General features: G+C 34.3%; 1 protein-coding gene across 2 annotated transcripts in view; it reads right to left on the reverse strand.

The window, feature by feature from the left end:
• Positions 1-1668: 1668 nt before the first annotated feature.
• The window catches only part of GUCY1A2 (guanylate cyclase 1 soluble subunit alpha 2), a 344458-nt gene continuing 324864 nt past the window's right edge, over positions 1669-21262 (reverse strand). For both annotated transcript variants that reach the window (NM_000855.3, NM_001256424.2), the window contains one exon: positions 1669-15406. In NM_000855.3, coding sequence (NP_000846.1) covers positions 15199-15406 — 208 coding nt within the window. In that variant the 3' untranslated portion in view covers positions 1669-15198. The remainder of the gene's footprint in view (positions 15407-21262) is intronic.

Below are 21262 nucleotides of genomic sequence, written 5' to 3' on the forward strand. Positions count from 1 at the left end.
GACAAATGTGATCCTGTCCTGGATCATATTTCAAAATGATCCAGTGAGTCAAATTTATTGCTTCATTACAAACATATACTAGCAGGGAGTGGGCTGTGAAAGCTATAGAGCTCCTAAGGAGGGCATGTTTCCTAATATCCACTTCAGATGCAGCCATGGTATGGAATGAACAAGGAAGAACTTCCCAGCCAATGGAGGCGAGTGCTACAGATGGAGCTGGAGGCCATAGATAATGATTGCCCATAGGGACTCCAGCTAGGGCAGGGGCTTCTTAGTACCTGTCTATCATGCCATGAACCAGAGAATTATAATGTGTTTTCCCTTTCTTTCAAATTTTTTATTGAAATTATGCCTTTGTCTTTGTCTGCCTTTCACTCATCGATCTATGTGACTATGCACACACACATATATTTATGTGGGAGTCTGGGTAGAGAGGGATAAAGCAGACATTTGTGTTTTGGTTCCTAAGTGACCAGGTGATGATGGAGATGACTGCATATCACCCAGCACATCTGGACTTGAGATACTCTATATTGTCTTCTTTGCAGAGGGACCTGAAGGCATTCTACTTGTTCAGGAAAGTGTGCAAATCAGTATTTGGCATGCAGAAGGGCAATTGTGTCAAAAACTGCTAGTCCTTAGCCAAAACCATTTCTAGTTTTCCTGAGCACAATATCACTTAACTGCAGTTTGCCTTGTAGTTAAGTTCCTGAAAGTTCAAACTGTTAACAAAAGGCCTCATCATGTGTTAAGTAGCAACCACCTTGGCTATGCCACAGACAACTTCTTAGTCTCTCTCTCTCTGCTTAAATTTTCTTACCTCTAAAATGAAGAAAGCAGGTTTTTATAGGATTAAGATGTAATTAAGAAAATTGTTCATAAATGCAATTTTACCGTGATTATCATTTAAGAACTATTCGATAAGTGTTTCTTCTTTTTTACCTGCTCAGTGTCAATTCTCTTATGGTCAGGGAAGTGGTTCTCAGGAGTAGCATGGCTTCTGAGCAGCAGATAACAAGAAGACAAGGGCAGAAGATGAGAACAGCCCTGTTTTGTGAACACAGGATGAAGACTGCCTTAGGAACTTCTAGAAATAGATGGAAATTTGTATGGTTGAGACTAAATGGTTATAGAGGAGAGGGCCATTAAATAATGAAGATAACTCGATTCTGCCTACATAGACTGCTGGAGTATAGGAACATCAGAATAAAATGGTCCTCTTATAGATATGTGCTGCGTCTCATCTAGTTGATGGTTATGCTCTTGAAAGTTACTCAGCGGGCATTCAAATGACATTGAACTGTGATAGTAATATGAACCCTTTTCTCTGTCCTTTCAAGAAAGCAACTGGCTAGTCAGAAGACAGCTGAGTTATGCCTTTTCTTTGTCATATATATTTGGGGTACATAGCACTACAGTAATTATAATGTGTACTCTTTGGTTTTGCAAGAGGACTAAAGAGATATTTCATGTTTAAAAAATTCAAAATTGGCTTTGTCAAATATTGTGTTAGCAGCTGCATCTGCAGCCATAAAGGTAATGCATTATGAACATCCCATTCACTCCTATATTCTTTCCCCCATTCTTTCATCTATTATTCATTCACATTCTTAGGCATTGTTATTCACCTTCATTGTGTGGAAAGAAATGCTAAAAGAATGTTCAGACTCCTTTTTGGTATTATTTATTGATTTAAATATTTTATAAGTGACAGTTTGGACACTTTTAAGGTAAATAAATGCATGACTTAACTAGACAATTTTGTAATGAATTATGTAAATATAACACAGAACTATCATTTCCACTTTGTTTTATAAGAATCCCACGTTTCCATCACTTATTTTTCATATACAAATTCACCTTGTTCTGCAGTCTGTAAATGCAAAGACATTTTACATCATGAAACATGCTATTTACATTGTGAATGATTTCGAATAATAACAAATAAAAGAATGAGTAAAAAGTGGTGTTACATGAAAATCAAAGAAGATATTGTGGATATTTATAATCTTATATGAGTTATACTTTTACATGTATTATTCTTAAAATTCTAGTGAAATGAGGCATATTTTATCATTTCAATCAGAAAAAGTTTCTTTAAACCTGTACTACTAGATAAAGAAAAATATTTTAAAATATAATATGAAATACCAAATGAAACTTTTTTAAAATTAATGGTACAGGTTTAAGAGATGCATTCATTTTTTTAAAAAAACAAAAAATAGTTTGACATTTCAAAATATATGCAATTTAATCATGCCCTACATATATATTAGTATATTTACCTGGTATTAGTTGATGACATTATAATTTAAGTTTTTGATAACTCAATTTTTAAAAGATATTATTCACAAAGTAAATCTAATAACAAAGGAGCAGATATACAATATGATTTACATTGCAAACCAAACCAAAAATTTAGACCCATGAAATTGCAGCAAACAAATTAGCCAAAATGTTAAAATAATTCAGGTTAAATGAAAACCACCCCATGCAGAGGATGCTAATGAAGGCCGAGCACATTATAACTGTGTGTTTTTATTAAGTGATTTTGGAAACCTATTTATTATTATATAGTGCCTGCAGACTTGATGGAAGTGCATTGGCTGTTTATTTTATGCATTGAAGTGAGTATTAATAGGATTATTACTATTAGGATATTACTATTAGGATGATATTTAAAGTACTGTTTGGGAAATGAGACCCTTTGGTTTTGTAAAATGGCTACTCATGATTGAAGAGTCAGAATTCAGGTAGGTTGATTTTGAAATGAATGATATGTATTATTTCTGGAATGCACTTAATCAGTATTTTAAAAGCATAATGAGACAGTTTTGTCACTTAATTACCGAAGTTATAATGTAGCTACAGGCAGCTGTTATAAAACTTCTTTTTCGAAGGCAAAATTCTCAGGAGGACTTTTTTTTTTTTTTTTTAAATAAAGAAAAACCTTTCCATCCAACTTGAAGAAAAATCAGAAAGTATTTTTCTCCATGGACCATTATTCTATTTGAACCTAACCTGAATTCCCTCATAGTCAAAACCTGCCATGATGATGTGAATTCATTTCCGCATAGTCGGAATAATTTTTGCTCCAAATTCTTAAAGGAGACAATGAATTAGTAGCTTGTAAATTTTGCAGATCTGGGCCTTCAATAACTTAGTAGAAGGCAATAAAATAGAGGGAAAAATGGGACTGTGGATTACAACTGTTCAAATTTCATCTTAATTTCTTCTATTTTTCTCAACCATATTTCTTCTATTTTTACAATCATTATTAAAATATTTCCCTAAAGAAATACAAATGGTAAAGGTATTGAAAGTCACATTTCTTTATCTGAACAAGTATTAAGATTGTCCATCATTTCAAGACAAAGGTTTTCTTAACAGTGAAAATCACAGGAAGAAAGTAATCAGTATTTTCATAGATACCAATTTATATGGTAGCTGCCTGTTTTTTCACAATTTCAAAATAAGTCAGTATAGGATAAACAAAAGTTAACAGAGAAATTCGTCCCTTTTGAAGTTTTAATTTTTTTCAAGTATTTTATACCCCTTTGACTACTTCATCTGTTAGAATTTAAGACCCCTGAGGTACATAACAGAAAAGTCCAAATAAGAAATGAGAACCAAAATTCAAGGGTATTTAACTCATTGAAGCATATCTTTCCACAGAGGAACAAATCATGTTTTTTTCTGTATAATTTTCTATTAACACAAACTTATGTCATGAAGATAATTAAGTGGTTTGAATATAATCTTAATACATAAAAATAAAAAACCAGAAAGAATACAATTTTAAGTTTGGGAGATTATAAATTCTTTAAATCTTGTTCAAGATTTGTTCAAATTATTATAAAGTCAATTAGAAATACCTACAATGGAAGAATGCCCTTACTCTTAAAGAAGATATTTGACTTATTTTCCCTTAGGAGTCAAATACTCTGCTAGAAATGATTTAATTTTCCCTGAAAAATAATGGCTTTGGATTGAGATTTGTAAATGTTTGATCTCTTGATCCAAGCTGTACTTTTTTTTTTTTTGTATTTAATAAAATGGCAATTTGTAAATTCTGGTGAATACTCAAAATTGTAGCTAAAAACAGCTATCTGAATATAGGTTTAAAACCTCAAAGACACAGAGCTAAGAAATATGGAATACATTGTATATTGCTTTTTCAATAGAGTAGACATAAAATTGATGACAAATGTTTCCAAACCCTCAATAAGAACTCAAAACATCATACTATGCCAAGCTGAATTACAGAAGGGTATCTAAGAAAGAAGACAGTGCATCAGTTATCTCTAGATAAAGAGCCAGTAAAATCAAGTTGCATTTGATGTATACATCTTATTGGGAGTAGTTTTCAGAAAGCAATTTCCCTACAAACAGAAAAAGCATTTTTTTTTTCTATTTCAGTCTTTAGCAGTGTGGTACTCACATAAAAAAAAATGACTACTTGAAAATAAGAGGTTTTTCTAACTTAAGACATTTGTAAGGGGGTAAAAATAGGAGATTGTCCAAACAGATTGACCCTGATACTTCTTGAAAAAGTGTTTAAATTCAATGAAAATGAACACACATAGATTTTTATAGACCCACATTTCTCTTGACTGACAGTCTCTGGAAGTCAAGGTCCCAATTCTCTCAGTCACTTCTATCCTCAACTGATCTGCATCTACGTGCTCATCTTCTTTCCCCTTTTCTCACAAATCCACAAAGTGTTCAATCATGTGAAAGTGAAAAAGGGAGGCTCCAGCCCAAATAGTAAAGTACTATTGTCATTTATCTTATAAGAGCTAGAAAGAAATAAAGCAAAGAGGGAGGGAAGGAAAGGAAGGAAAGGAAGGAAGGAAGGAAGATAGGAAGATAATTCAATGGAAAAAAGAGGAGCTAAGCATGCTAACAAGTTTTAAAGCCTAATTAATTTACTGCACATAAAACTTATGTATATAAACCATTCATTTCACATTCATCAAGAATTTTATTCATGAACACCAAACTCAACTGATTCAAGCTGTCACCACACTTGATATTTGGACTCTTGCATGGTTTCTCATTAGCACAAAAAATATACTAATGTTTAATTAGATAATGCAGCAAATATTGATTGAAGACATAAAACCAAATTTTCCCAGCAGATAATAAATTCTGCACTGGGGAGACATCTATGATGTGACAAGTTATTTTTGTCCCTTTAAATATTCACTCTAATTAGCATATTTATTAAATTTCTTGTTTGTTTTATCAAAGTTTTGACATGCTGAATTTCATGGCATTCTGTCATTTTTATGACATTCTGTTAAATATAAATACTGTGTTTAAAAATCTATTTATCCTTACCATCTATTTTCAGCTTGCCTCTAGGTTAACAGGATTAGACAACAGACCTAATTTTGATGTAAGCAAAGTCTGATTTTTGTGTCTCTTTCCATCTTCTCTACTGGTATCCATTCCTTTCTCTAAGTTGCATTTCATCTGAATCCAACTAAATATTTCATACATGTTCATAAAATGGGACTCCTCCTATAGCCAGGTAATCATTTGGATTTTAGCAGGAGAATTTTTTTTAGACAGAATAAAATTGTTTTTAAGGATCAAATGAAAAAGCAATGAGCACCTATTATTTCAGGTCATTGAGTTATATAACAAATAAATGAATTTTATGAGTGCCTGGTGACACACTTGAAACAAATTTTAAAAGAAGAATAGTAATTTGGGCTGCCATCCATTAATAATAATTTTTACACAGGAACAAAAATTAAAGAATTTTTCTAAAAGTCCCCCTGAATTACTTTAGATAATTATACAGTCCTCTAGTTTATCTAGACCTTCTTGGCTAGAGTTTGATCTACCATCAGAAATAATTTCTTCTTTTTGAGAATACTTTGTAGTCAAAGAATACAAAAGCAATTTATCTGAGAGTCCAAGCCAAGGTTAAGTTTTGGTTTCAGTGTGGTAATTTTTACCAAAAAAATTCAGAAGGAGGGTTTCACATTATTGATAAATCAACTAGCTGTTTTCATATTTTGCTTCATTTTATGGAAGTTTTAATTTAAAAGGCCAAAAAAGGAGACAGCCTTTCAAGTGGTTAGATACATAAATATTGATCCAGATTGCCCAAACCTCAGAAGAAAGTCATATTTTGCTAGCTTTTAAAGAGTGATATTGACCATGAAGAAATAGTTCTTGGGAGGCAATAAAAGTAGAATTGCTGTAGGAATTGAGGTTTCATTGGGTATGGAAATGCATAGTTTCTTACTAGTCAGAGAGTCAGAGGTGATGTAACAATATTCATATTTGTTGTTCAAATGATTTGAACATAAATTGGTTTTGACTTAGATTTTATTCCGAGAAGTTTACAATGCGTTGTTCTATATTCTAATGTGAACAAGCTGAAAATACAGTATTATTTGACTATTATCCTTAATGTTTATGTTATTTTAAAAAGTGTAATATTTTAAGTAAAATAATATTGCCAAATTTGCAAACCCTGGCTCAATGCCACAATTTTTAAGTCTGTCATATTTATGACTTTTTTTCTGTAACAAATGGAAAATATAAAGTAAAAATCACTTAAATGTAATTCACAATTAAGTGTTATCATCAGAGGATAAAACTCTAAGGAACCTAGAAACAACATTAATTGAATCTCTCATTGCTGAAGAAGTTGACACATTCAGAAAACTTTCAAAAGTCTCTGACATTCTAAGTTTTGGATATGAGTGAGTTGACTCTTTCAGGACAATAAATCTTTGTCTTAAATTCTTTTTCTAACTGATAATTTTGATTAAAAATTGCTCAGGTTTGTTCCCTCCTTTTAAAGTTTCTGTTCTAAACAAACTCTATATGAATTAACCAGTTACATGTAAGTGAAAAATCTTTGATGATTAAGGTACTACCTAACCACTTTTAAGTTTAGAAGACTAGAGTCTTCGTGTCTCACAGAATACCATTAAATGCTATGGGGTGATTCTCTCTCCAGCTCAAATACTCTGGCACATTCTGTAAGAGACAGATGGACATTTTTCTGCTCTAAAGTTCCACACTTGTTTTGCTAGCAGCCAAACCCAATTTGAGAAGAATGTGAAGAAGAATATGGCGTAGAGTACAGCCGCCAAAAGTTTAAAAATTTCAGGACACAAAATAAATATTTCCTATTATTTGTGATTAAATTTTTCAACTAAGGGAATATGTAATTTATTTAATGTCAGAACAACAACAAATGTTTTTAAATGATTCATAAGACAAAAGTATATTCTTCTCACTGAATGCTAGCTCAGCCAGGCATGTTATAAAAGGAAAAAATATAGTTTGTTTTAATATCACTTGCATAGTGTTAGTCTGTTTTTCTATGCTAATTTTAGCAGGGTTTTCTGTGGCATATGGCAGAGCTGGTATTGGGCCTTCTTTGTTCCTTCAACCCAGATGTTCTGACACTTTCATTTACCTTAATCATTGTAACCAAGACTAGTTCTATCTGCCACCTTCAGAAAGCATCTATTTGTAGCTCTGTAAGCTTCTATCCCAGCTTCACTGAGATGTGCAGCTGCCGAGAGGTTGGCACTACCTCCTAGGAAAACTAAAAATGGCTTGTGAAGGGTTTCTCTTTTTTTGTCTTTCTCTTTTCTTTTTAAAAATGAGTGACCAGTAGTCAAATAAATCATGTGGCTTCCATTAAACCAGAGGTGTTTGTTACGGAAATTGCCTCTCCTTTAAGAGTCTCTACATCTTCCTGAATAAAAAACTAACTCTCTTTGCTTCATCTCTTCTAAAGCTCCTGCCCACCTCACTCACTCCATTTGTCCCTTTGTCCTGAGTCTGCTGTGTAAATGCCAGGCAGCAGAATGCAAAGAAGTGTCTTCAGAAAGTGAGGTATGAAGAAACAATTTTGCACATTCCTGATTTTATTTCAGTTATTACTTTCCTCTTAGATATAGGTTTAATGACATTTAATAGACCACAGTAAAAATATATTAAGTAGAATTCCTTCTTTATCTGCAAATAGCAAAAAGTCCACAGAAGAAGACTGAATATAAAGTGATTTCTTCAGTTTAAAAATATGTATCAAAAGAATCAAAAAGTAACTATTACTCAGACCTGCCATTTGGTTTTTCTTTTCTGCTTTTAAATAATAAGCAACAATACTTAAGTCTAATATAAAGAATGATCTGATCAGCAACTAGCTGAATTAACTGGAAGGATAACTTCAGTGTAATTTAATAGATTCAAATTAAATATTTTCCATTATTTATTTAACCCAAAACCATTCTTACTAAGGATTTAAGGATCCAGTGATATACAAGAGGATAATTGTCAAAGCCTCAGTAAATCAACAATCCGGTTTGATTTTGATAGGGAAATTTTCCAAACTGTGGGCAGGAGAATGCTAAAATTAAGTTTTGCTATGAGTAATAGAAAGGTAAAGACAAAATATCGAACACACCCACCATTCAAATGGGTTCATATTCATGTTTAGGGGATTGTTTACCTTGCAGGGCAATAATAGGAGCTGTCATCTTATTTAGATGCTTAGGAATGAATCCTAAGCTTATATGCTAAATCATAATCTGATGTTTAGATACTGTTCAGTATAAACATAAATTTACTAGTTGATTTTAGCTGTAATCCTTATACATTATTCTAAATGATGAAGTAAATTTAACTACTAAAGAACTGATTATCATTGACTATGCCACATTCTATTAAAATTGTATTTTAAGTAGACTAAAAACATGATTTTTTCATTTCGAAATCTGAAAGCTTTAGTGTTTTTTCAGTATTACTGAATAATCATTTTCAGACTTTTATTTATTGTGCTACAGGTGACTTTCAGTCAATCATATTCTGAAGTCAAAATACTATCATACTTACCAAAAACTTGTGTAGCTATCATTGAAAACAGTAATAATGAGCTCTTTTATCTTTACTCTTTCATCTTCCAAGACCATATCAAACCAACATTTGAATAAATCTGCCGCAAGACCCATCTATATTTTTGCAAAGCCTACTTTCTCAATCACCTCTTCCAACCTATGCTCTACTTCCACTCATTTATCCATCCTTAACTTCTTCCTTACTATTATATACTACAAAGATCCAAAAATTGGGCAACATTATAAATAATACACAAATCTCTTTGACAGGAATAGAAATCATATTTTTATAGCCATGTTTAAAATTATGCACCAGAAATAATCTGATGTATATTAATCACTTTACAGCATGTTTGCAAATGAATAACTTCTGAGATAGATTAAACATGTCATTTGCCCGAATATTTTTAATCTGAGTCATTACTTGCTGCTCATTTTGCTACAGAATAATGAGTATCTTTAAAAAGTCCACACCAGCTATATTATTGCTTGTATAAAACATGTTTCTGTTTTCACAAAGGCTCTATGAAATGCAAAGAAGTGCAAGCTTCATATGGCATCATCACCATGGCTTAAATTATTGCTTGAAAGGTTGTTACACGGTATTGCTTGGAAATCAGTTTTCAGATAATGTACAATTCAATATGAAAAGTACATAGTGAGACTAAGTATTAAGTTGATGTCTTTTCATGACATAAAAATCAAAGCATTCAGAAGTAAGGCTGTCACTTTGATATTTGCTTCTGTGTCCCAAAGGTCATAGTTTTTACCTCGGTGGTGAGGATTAGCAAATGTTGTAATATACTGCACAGCTCTGGCAGTAACTAAGAAAATGGTACTGTATCTAGTATGCCTAATAGCCCTATAGTGAGCAATATTCATCCCTCATGCTTATCAGTGTTGACGTCTGTCTCTAAGTTTGAAGATTCATGCTCAGAAAGAAGACCACAAATTGGAAATCAAAGCTAAAATTAAAATTTGTGAAAGAAATAATGGTATGAGGCCTAGAGTATTTAACTTTTCAAAATAACTACAAATGAAATAACATCACTATCCCAGTCAACTTGTATTTATTCCTAGTAATTGGGATTATTTGAATACTTTTCAATGATTCCCAAGTCTGGCTGTATATTAGCATTACTTAGAGTGATTTTCTAAACACAGATTCCTAGGCCCTACCTGAGACCTACTGAATCCAAATCTCTGAAGGTAAAGACTAGTCTTCTGTATTCCTAAAACTCCCTACGGAATTCTTATGAAGCCAGCCAGATACTTCCAAGCAGATCAGCTGAACCACTGAACTAGGTCATTTCTTAAGGATGGGATGGCAATGAGGTACTTAACTGAAACCGTGATCTGGTTATAACATATTAGAAATAAAGACACAAACTTTACTTCTCTGCATTCCCAAGTCCTTCCAAAGAAACTTACTTCTTTCAATCATGAAACATCTACATTCAATAAACACAGATGCATACACACAAACTAAAAATATTAATCACTTTATAAAACTATTTTAGAATATGGGATTAGCTGTGATACTTCCTGTGTTATAAATGTATCAGTGACCTTTTTTAATTAAAGGAAAGAAGGAACAAAGGAAGGAAGAAAACAAGGGATGGAAGAACAGTCATACGCAGGTTTCAATTGTTTGGATCAAGTGTGAGGAAGGAATTTTGCACACTATCTCAGTATAGCCTGACAAGATTGTTAATCTGTATGTAATATCAGTGTCTGCTCTTCATTCACCACTACGAGGATCTTGAAATTGAGTCCATAGCTGAGGTCAACTTACCCATTTAACAATAAATTTTGTTCAATCACATGAACACAATTTATGTGTATGTTAAACCAGCTGGTTGTGGTTTAGGAACATTCATATCAAGAGCTGCCCATAAATCGTTTAGAAATATGTTAAACTTCAATAATTCAGTCTCATGCATCATGATTTTTGGGTTATATCTATTATTAAGCTATGATTATAGAAGCCTCTGAAATGACATAATTTTTGTAGCTGAAGGTCTATAATCTAATAGTAGAAAAAACTAAGCTACGATATAGGGCTTGGTTCTTGAACTTGAGTTTCTAGATATTGTCAGCTGAAAGACGCCTGGTGCTACCCAAAGCCTATTCAGAGTCATTTATAATTAATTTCAAAGGAACATTCAGTGAAGCTGTATGAAGTGCTTGGAGTCAGACTGTGTTTTGAAGAAAGAGCAGAGGGTGAAGCTGCAGATATAATCAATGCCCCGGCACATCCAGTTCATTACTACACTTCAGAAGTACATTGTTGCTCAGGCCTGACTGTGTGTGGTCCTTCCTATCCGCCTGAATGAGGCACCAGCAACCCTTTCTGTAGCCATTCTGGGTTCAGAAGTGAAGAGAGAATGCTGTTTGCTGTGGCCAGGCGTGAGGGGGTGAGATGGTTTCTAGTGACAGAATGGAGTAAGAAAGGGTCCAGAATGGACTGAGTCATTCTCAAAATGACAAGACAGAAACCTGTGTGTAAAAGTTTTACTTTTTGCCTTAACCATCCACAACACCTGCTCTCAGAAAGTCAGGGACCCAAGGAGCCTTCAACAAATATATTTAATTATGGTCATAATTTTGAGCTCCTACCTGATGCCTTACGACTTTAGATACACAATTTCATTCAGCAGCAGTATGATTCTATACAAAACACAGAGCCTGGTGGGGTTTTCAGAATTCTCCATGGCTTTGCCTTTTGTTATCTATCAATTTAATTTTGCTTTATTGCTGGAACTCTTTGGAGGCATTTGCAAAATTAAAAGTCTTGCTCCCCTTGTGAATGAGATTTTGTTTAAGTTGTTATTATCCTCTTTTGCTTTGTTTTTCCTGGAAAGACACACATATTCACACTAAACTACTGTGTCCTGACACCGTTGTTACTGGACAAGAGGAAGGAGTGCAAGACTGTAAGAAACAACATTTGAAGTGCTGAACCTACAGACCCACTCTCAAGTCTCAGGCATCAATGTCTGTCTCAGAGTCCCAGATCAAAGCTCACTTGATTCCACATAATCAGATATTAAAAGGAAAATCTGAAATTACTTAAAATATAGAGCAAGAGATGAATATAAAGGCAGATTGTACGCAATTGGGTCCCATGTTACCTGGAAGCTATGTCTTCTTCCCCTTCTCTACGTTATATAGACAAGAGATCCAACTACTATGTTTCTGAAGCATATTATTATTTTTTATTATGGCCAATGTTACCTAATGATTAAGGTCCACAAAGAAGATACAGGGTAGTACATTCTGAGTACATATTGGGGGATTCTGATTTTGTTAGATAACTGATTTATTTGCAAATGATGACATTCTCTCCATCAAAATAATCCTGATACCAACGTGATGCTTTGGTGCTAATGGCTAGTTATAAGGTGCCTTCTTCCAAACAGCAGCTTAAAAGAATATTAAAATGCAAGAGCTATAGGTGCCAAATTATATTTTAAAGTATCCCTTGCAGAGTGGGTTAAAACCATTTCCCCAATTTAATATCATTTGGTTTCTAAGGGAACATCACACAAATTTCTTGTATCTGCCATACTAAAATGCATGCTGTTGGTAATAGTTTGTAAGTAAGTGAGAATACTGTATAGATAAAAGTCATATGAAATAACAAATGCCACCACATTGTTACAATCACAATTCCTAAGAGAAGAGATGTAGATGGCATTGTGTAGGACAAATAAAAATATAATTTTTTCTCCATCTTCTAACTTCTGTGATTGAAGTTTGAATGAACAGACATTTTATATAGTACCTCATAAACATATATAGCAACATTGTAACTACAATAATCAACTATAATAGATTAGCAAAATGATAACAAATTGGACCATTATCTCGGACTATAGCTGTGAAAATACACTTAGGTTATAATGTATGAAAAATGTAGTTGACATCCTGTCAGTGATAAATAAGAAATCTCTGGCACGTTCTTCATCGTGACATTTATGGCAATGTAAATGGATACTTATTCTCTAAGTAAAATCATATAAACTAATACAGAATTTGTGATTCTTCTGATAAATTGAGATATATAAATACAATACTTCTCTCCAGGCCTATCACTAGTATTGAGGTGGATTTCCAATGATGCTTTTCAAATATGCTTCCCGTAGATATTCTTAAGTATGGAGATAATAAATATGTGTTTAGAGTAGTTGCTTAGACAAATCTTTATAAAAAGTGAGAGAAATAGATTGGATATTCCTGGAAGTCCCTTTCAGCCTTATGGTTACAAAACACATTGTTCATCACCAACATTTTATTGATTTAATATACCATAATAAGTTCTAAGTTACTGAAGACAATAGGCATAAATGACATCAGTGAGCTTGTTCCCTCCCCATGCTCCAGTGCTACAAGGAGCCCATCAACATTGCTAAGGCATTTTCTAATATAAGCATGAGGATTGAGGTGCTCCCAGTCTGCTCTGCTCATACTGGCTGTAAACCTCCCCATTGTCCAGAAACACAGGCCCACAGAAGAGGGGGTCAGGCAAAGGTTTAGAGCTCAAGGTCTATTTCCTGTCTTCTCCATATAAAGAGTGTTGCACTCGTGTCCTTGTAAACCCCCAGGGCAAGAAAATAACTCAAATTATAAAAGGGATCAGGATTATAACAAATATTTGCATATCTACAAATGCCTTCTAGCCACACACATAGAAAATTTAAAAACATTAAATGAACCTCATAGACTACATTGGAAATTAGTAAATATATTCCTTAACTGAGTTATGTCATAACCAAATCATAATGCAGCCAAAATCCCTGAACAGAAAAGAATATTGCATTCAGTAGACATAAGCTATCAATGAGTAAGAAAATGACCTCTCCAAGGCTTAAAGGAAACAAATGCTTCCAGCTTATTAACCTCAATAGAAACTTAGATTTTATATCTGAACCCAAACAGGAAAACTCTGGACACCTGATGCTCCTAATTTTAGTGTGAGCCAGTAATATTTTCATGCAGTATTGATTAATGAGAACAGGTCTTCATTTGAGCAGGACATGCGATGGAATCCTATCTGTAACTATAATGATTACTAGTTCTGAAGATTATACCTACTTCAGTATTCATGAAAGTGATTCACTGAATTTAAAAGCCATATCAATCAAACTGCAGAACATTTTTTAAAACCTCAAAGCCATAAAATACAGAGGTTTCCTTGCTTTGTGTTGTACAAGAAGAAACAACATTCTTGGCAAACTGTCCTGACACTTCTTTGTCACTAATGCCAGTATCCAGGAATTTGTTCTCAAGAATAGCAGTCGGCTCTTAGGAGGCATCAACTGGGGAAGAGGAAGGGGGTAACTAACATGTCATTTAGCTGAATGCTGTTTATTAGAATGCAGTTTAGTGTTGCAAAAGCTACCTATATTTGTAAGTGCTAAGTTGAAAAGGATCCAGTGTAGCAAAGCATTTCATTTTAACTGATATTTGTTAGAAGGTGGCAAAAAGACCTTTCTTTAATCTTGGTTACAGATACATCTGGTGTTAGGAAATTCCATTTCCTCTGGATTCCATGCTACATTAGTTAAATCTAAAAGATATATTTACTAAGCAGACATATAATGCTTTCTTGGTATCTGAAATCCTTGGTTATATGTATTCTCAGTCGAAGCACTGATCTCTCTAAATAAGGGAAACTATATTAGATTAATAGGTTAGCATTATATATAATATACTAACAATACAGAAGCAGATTCTGAAAATCTAATAATGTTGTGCGAAATGTAGTTATCTAGAAGAGATATGTATAAAAATAGGTAATATCCCTAAAATATTTTGCCGAGTTACAATTCTTCCAGTTGGGAAGTTTACCACACTGCCATGATACATGTATGAAATGTCTGTTCAGAAAAAGAAACTTAGAAAATATTCCTCACCCACCAACTCACTAAATGTAGGAATATATAATCAAAACTGGCTCTCAAAAGTGGTACAAATATATAGGGAAAGATACTTGTATGTGTGATAAACAAGAAAACATGGAATCTATTTATTGGTTAGTTCTGAAAGGGGACCCACACTTGTAATTAAAATATATGTGTATATATATGACCAAAACCACTCATATGAATGGACACATCTTATTTCCCTCATCCTCCGGCTTTTTATTGACAGCGGTCACCTCCACCTTTTAGTAGGATTATTGCCTGACATAATACAGAAATTTTGCTGCTTGTTCTCAACAAAGCAATGAAAGAGACACAATCTCTTTCCACCCCCCATTGGTGACCCATGTTCTGGGCTTGTGCTTTTTGGAGGAGTCTTTGATCTGTAGCAGGTCTCAGAGGCTTGTCTCCCGGAGGAACATGGTGCCGATGTTGTAGGAAACCTTTTTTATTCTCGACGAAGAAAGAGAAGGCTTTGGTGGCTTTGGACCAGTCCTTACCTCCAGGAAATAGCAGATCCCAGGAATTTCCTTTGGAAAGTTGTCTGGAAGCTCTTCACGAGACCGCGGAATGAATGTGAAACTTTCTTCTCGTTTTAATAATCTAAGAAGAAAATACAGAGCACATGAATCAAGTAGGCCAGGGAAATGTAAATACATGGACAGAAATTTTAAAGGCTCAGGAAGCCTATCTCTGACTGTTCATGGTAATACCTCTATTTCTTTGTATAGATGTGGCCTTCATCAGATTCCAAATGCTAGGAAATGTTATAACTCAGAAAAGATCCCTTCATGTGATAATAATAAAAAAACCCCAAAGCTGAGTATGGTACTACCTGAAAATATTTGTTCAAGATTGATTTCTTTCTAAACAGCATTCCTTGAAAATATTTGTTCAAATGTTATTGTTTTCCCTAAACAAATGCCCAAGGAAACTTCATAATACAGGTTTTATTTCAAGCATGCAGGATTTACCTTTTCCGTTTTTAAAACCTGCCCAAATTCTAGTGCACTCCTTTTATGTTTGGTAAACCGTAAGCTTTAAATGTGTGTCCTGTATGTAAAAAACTTTAATCAAGTATTTAACTTTGTAGAACAACACTTCGTGACTCCCAATGTCTCTGATATCTGCTTGCTGATTTCTAGCCAAGCATGCTATCCAAACTCGATAGCATTATTGGTTAAACAGCTTGATTCTTCTCTTCCAGTCACACATAAAGACTCTTTTTCAAAACACTAACAACATTGGAATAAATTTATTCTTTAAACTTGTCCAGTTTCATGAAAGGTTCAGTTTGATACTTGTATCTAAAAGTGTGGCCCAACAATTCAATTTAATTCAACAGCTCTTGATAGACTGTTTCTTATTGCCCAAGAAAAGCCTCCTAGACACTTCTGTGAATATAAGAAGTGGAACACATCTAAAAAGCTCACAGTTTTGTCAACAGATATAGAAACAGAATAAAAGAATTTTTAAAAAAACCCAATAAATGAACAAAACACAGAGTAATATCAAAGTATAGAACGTAATAGGCTAGATGCCATCAGAAAAGTAGACACGAAAATTGCAGAAGTCTAGAAGAAAAAAAGTATTTGCAGTGGGAGGACCACAAAGCTTTCATGGACTAGATGTTATTTAAAGGCATATACAGTTTCAACAAGTGGATAAGGAAAACAATGTAACCAAAGGGTTAGAAACAAGAATATTGTAAAGTTTCTAACCATATGATAGCATTACCCAGTGAGGTAAGAATGAGGGTTAAGGCTGGGGCAGTAGGTTAGGAAAAAGTTTTAAAGCCCTAAACTAAGAGTTTAGACTTTATTTGGAAAGCACCTTGGATCCAAACCCATTATCTTTTTCTTAAAAACAATCCATCCTCCTAAGACAGATTCATGTTAGCAGCAGCTCCAAGTAGGAGGCAGGTCGGGGCAAAAGAAACAATGAGCACAAGAAGAATAAAGGATGTGTGAACAGATAAGAACATTGCACAATCAATTATGAGTATCTCTAAGGAGAAGAAGAAAATATTCCTCCTCGAATGCTATTAATGGATAGAAAATATTACCTAAAACAATAGTTGGTAGTACTAATAAGTTATAATATGAACAGTCTATATTTAATTTTAAAAACTAGAGCTATAGTATTTTGATTGCTAAAGGATATAATGGCAGTTAAAAAAAACCACAAAATGATGATATTCATTCGGTATATAAAAAACAAGTCTCCTTCTAACATTTCAAAATTCTTTCAAAAGCCTTATCCCATTTTATTCACATAATATAGTTGTATGCAAAAGCTAAAAGTATAAACTATGCATCCAACAAAGGTCTAATATCTAGCATCTATAAGAAACATAAATTTACAGGAAAAAAACACAACCCCATTAAAAAGTGAGCAGAGGACATGAACAGGCATTTCTGAAAATAAGACACACATGAAGCCAACACGTATATGAAAAAAAGCTCAACATCACTGATCATTAGAGAAATGCAAATCAAAACCACAATAAGATACCATTTAACACCAGTCAGAATGGCTATTATTAAAAAGCCAAGGGCCGGGCACGGTGGCTCACGCCTGTAATCCCAGCACTTTGGGAGGCTCACAAGGTGGGCAGATCACGAGGTCAGGAGTTCGATACCAGCCTGGCCAACATGGTGAAACCCCATCTTTATTAAAAATACAAAAAAAATTAGCCGGGCATGTTGGTGCGCCCCTGTAATCCCAGCTACTTAGGAGGCTGAGGCAGGAGAATCACTTGAACCGGGAGGTGGAGGTTGCAGTGAGCTGACATCATACTACTGCTCTACAGCCTGGGTGACAGAGCGAGACTCAGTCTCAAAAAAAAAAAAAAAGTAAAAAAATAACAGATGCTGGCAAGGTTTTGGAGAAAAAGGAACATGTATACACAGTTGTTGGGAATGTAAATTAGTTCAGCCATGGTGGAAGACAGTGTGGAGATTCCTCAAAGACCTAAAGACAGAAATACCATTTGATCCAGCAATCCCATTACTGGGAATATACCCAGAGGAATATAAATCATTCCATTATAAAGACACATGCATGTGTATGTTAATTGCAGCACTATTCACAATAGCAAAGACATGGAATCAACCTAAATGTCCATCAGTGGTAGACTGGATAAAGAAAATGTGGTAAATACGGACTATGGAATACTATGCAGCCATAAAAAAAGAATGAGATCATGTCATTTCCAGCAACATGGATGGAGCTGGAGGCCATTATCATTAGCAAACTAATGCAGGAACAGAAAACCAAATACTGTATGTTCTCATTTATAATTGGGAACTAAATGATGAGACCACATGGACACATAGAGGAGAACAACACACATTGGAGCCTTTTGGAGGGTGGAGGGTGAAGGATGGGAGGAGGGAGAGGTTCAGGAAAATAACTAATGGGCAGTAGTCTTAATACCTTGGTGATAAAATAATCTGTACAACGAACCCCCATGACACTCATTTACAAATGTATGTAAGTATGTATATACATTTGTATGTAACAAACCTGTGCTTGTACCCCTGAACTTAAAAGCTGAAAAATGCTCATCTCCACCAAATTTATAGAGGGTGAAAATGAGTTCAGAATAAGTTAGACTGAATTGCTCCAGGAAACAGCAAGACAGTAGTGACAATGGAACTGGAACCTAGACCTGTAAACACAGTCAAGCTTAGCCCAACAATAAATAACAAGACTACGTAAGATAGCTCTCCATCACAAAACAACTAAACTAAGAAATAATTAATGACAATAAGAATGGAAGTCATCAGTACTTTTTACTTTCATTTTCACAAATGTCAATTTTCTTTACTATTAATATATAATCAGTCACTTCAGAAATAAAATGTAAAAAGCTCTATACAGCAGTTTTAATTTAGCAGTGAATTCCACAACAATTTTGCTAAGCTCAAATAGAACAGTCATCAATGTGTAATATATAGGTGTCAATCATTGATGTCAATCAATCAAACTTTTTTTTAGTGGTTATGACATTGTAAATAGTCCTCTGAATGGAGACGAGTAAGTGGGGACTTGCAGAATAAGTTAATATAACTAAAAAGACAAGAAATGCTCATTGAAACAAATTAGCAATACAATGATACAACATCTGATACAATCTAAAGGAAGAAATTCTACAGGAGAAAGGGAGAGATGATGACTATGGATTTAAGTACAAAAGTTAAGAACCACATATAGCCATAGTTCAGTCTTTCCACAAAGTTTCCTTAAAGCCCATAATCAACAATTAGGACTGCACATGAGCTACACTCTCTTCTCCCTATCTTTTAAGTCCTCAAATGTATCGTTTACAGTTTGTCTCACCAAGATCTTTGTTTTGCTATAATTGAGATTTTTCAACCCAAAACAAAAATGGGGTTAGATCTATGAAGGTACTTGTAAATGACTGAAAGAAGATGGTACCAGCTGCTTCAGATGTCAGAACTTTTAAATAATTCACTGCACATTGGCTGGGAGGAAACTTTTCACAATGAATTGATCTCTTGACATTTTAAATAGATCTCATGTACTTTGCTAGAAATTACAGAGACAACAGTTTTTATGAAATGGTATTTGCTTTTCCCAGTAAACATTTTGGTATCCATAAACTAAATACAGTTTTAAATTTCAATAGTAAAAATGAGAGCACATAAGGATAAATTGATTCAAGCTCCTATGATATCCAGTATTTATTACAGCAGACTTTGTAGATAAGAACACTGAAGTGCAATATTCAGTTGACTTCCAATAGGACAATCTGAATGACTTACTGGGGGGTTTGTGGAGGAGGTCAGGGGAATCATTTCACACAGCATGCCTGTTGATGATATGAGTCATGGTGCTGAAACTGAGTAAGCAATCAAATGTATACAAGGATTAGGAATTATTTAGAACCTGATCATCCCAGAGCCTAGGATCCCCTCTGAAATGCTTTATTAAGTCCAAGTCCCTGGGTTGGCTCTAAAGCTCTGCCTAACAATCCATTTCTTTAGCACCTCAGGGCTGATATGGAAGGTTAGATTCTATATAAATCTAAATTAATCCTCTAAATTAATCCCCAGCTGTAATCCCCAGCTGGTTGTTACACACTCTGGGAGTTTTGGCAACATGTTTAATAAGCATTTGGAAATCACACAAATCCTAGTTTACCTGCCTGTCACCCTTTCTCTGCTCAACAGTTTTTTCTACAAATTGTTTTTCAAAATAAAAATCCACTGCTGCTTTGGATCAATGGATGGCTCCCAAGCATGTGCAGGAAGCTTGATTCCATGGAGGTCCATGGAGCTTCTCCATCACAGCTGCAGAAATGAAGCTGGTTTCTGACTCTCTCACCTCTTGTTTTTATGCTCATTTCCTCCAATTTTCACCAAGCTCTGTGCTCTGTCCTACATCCTACCTTGGGAAAGGGTCTGACACTTATTCATACTGAAGTACAAATGATCTAAATGTAGTTCAAATTTTAACACAAAACACAGAATTTTAAAAAAGGGTCAGTGAGTTCAGCAGTCAACTGGTCAACAGGTAATCATTAAGTGCCTTCTGTGAGCTAGGCCTGAACCGATACTTTCCTATCTCTGACGATAATATGTATGGGACAGGAGAAGACTGAGAGGGAAACAAGAGAATTTTGAGTTTTGCTGAAAATGTCTTTCCATAAAGTGATTATTTTTATTTGCGAATTTGCCCCCTGGACAACCCCATGGACAGAATAAACCTTGCTGAAATGAATAGATCCAGTTCCAGCCTCTAATAGCGGCAGACTAGTATATATAGCTCTCTGACATCTGCACGTTTGAAATCACTGTGTGAAATTGGAAAATCTTTTGTTTGTTTCAACAACTGGAAAGATCTGTGTAATGTGCAGAGCTATAAGAGAGTGACATTCTCAGAATGCTGTCTACCAGGGGGTAATCACAAATTTGTCTACTCACTACCCAGCTACTGCTCACCAAGCGATACTTGAAGGGCAAAGGAAGAGGCAGTAGAATCTGATGCATCTTGTAGAGGGGTAGAAAAGATATGAGGACAGTGACATTTTAAAGACTTTAGATGTCGGAAATATCTTTAGTTCATTCTTCTCTCAACTTGATTGGTTTAATTAGGTATTAAATTCTTCTTTAGAATTGACTTTCTCCTCAGTATTTGGCTGTTAAAAAGTAAGATGTCATTCTGTTTTTTAATCCTGGGCATGTGAATTTTCTCCTAGTCTTTTTTATCATCATCATCATCATCATCGTCGTCTTTCTATCTCTGGTATTGTGAAAATTAATAATAATATGGCTAAGTGCATCTTTTTTATTTGGTACAATGACAATTAGTGGATCCTTTTGAACCTTTTGACGTAGCAAACTATGTCTTTCAGTTCTAGGAATTTTTAAAAAGTTATTTAATAATTTTGTATGCCTTGTTTTATATGTTTTCTTTTTATGCATTTTGGCT

Source organism: Homo sapiens, chromosome 11 (genome assembly GCF_000001405.40).
Source record: "Homo sapiens chromosome 11, GRCh38.p14 Primary Assembly".
Classification (NCBI taxonomy): domain Eukaryota; kingdom Metazoa; phylum Chordata; class Mammalia; order Primates; family Hominidae; genus Homo; species Homo sapiens.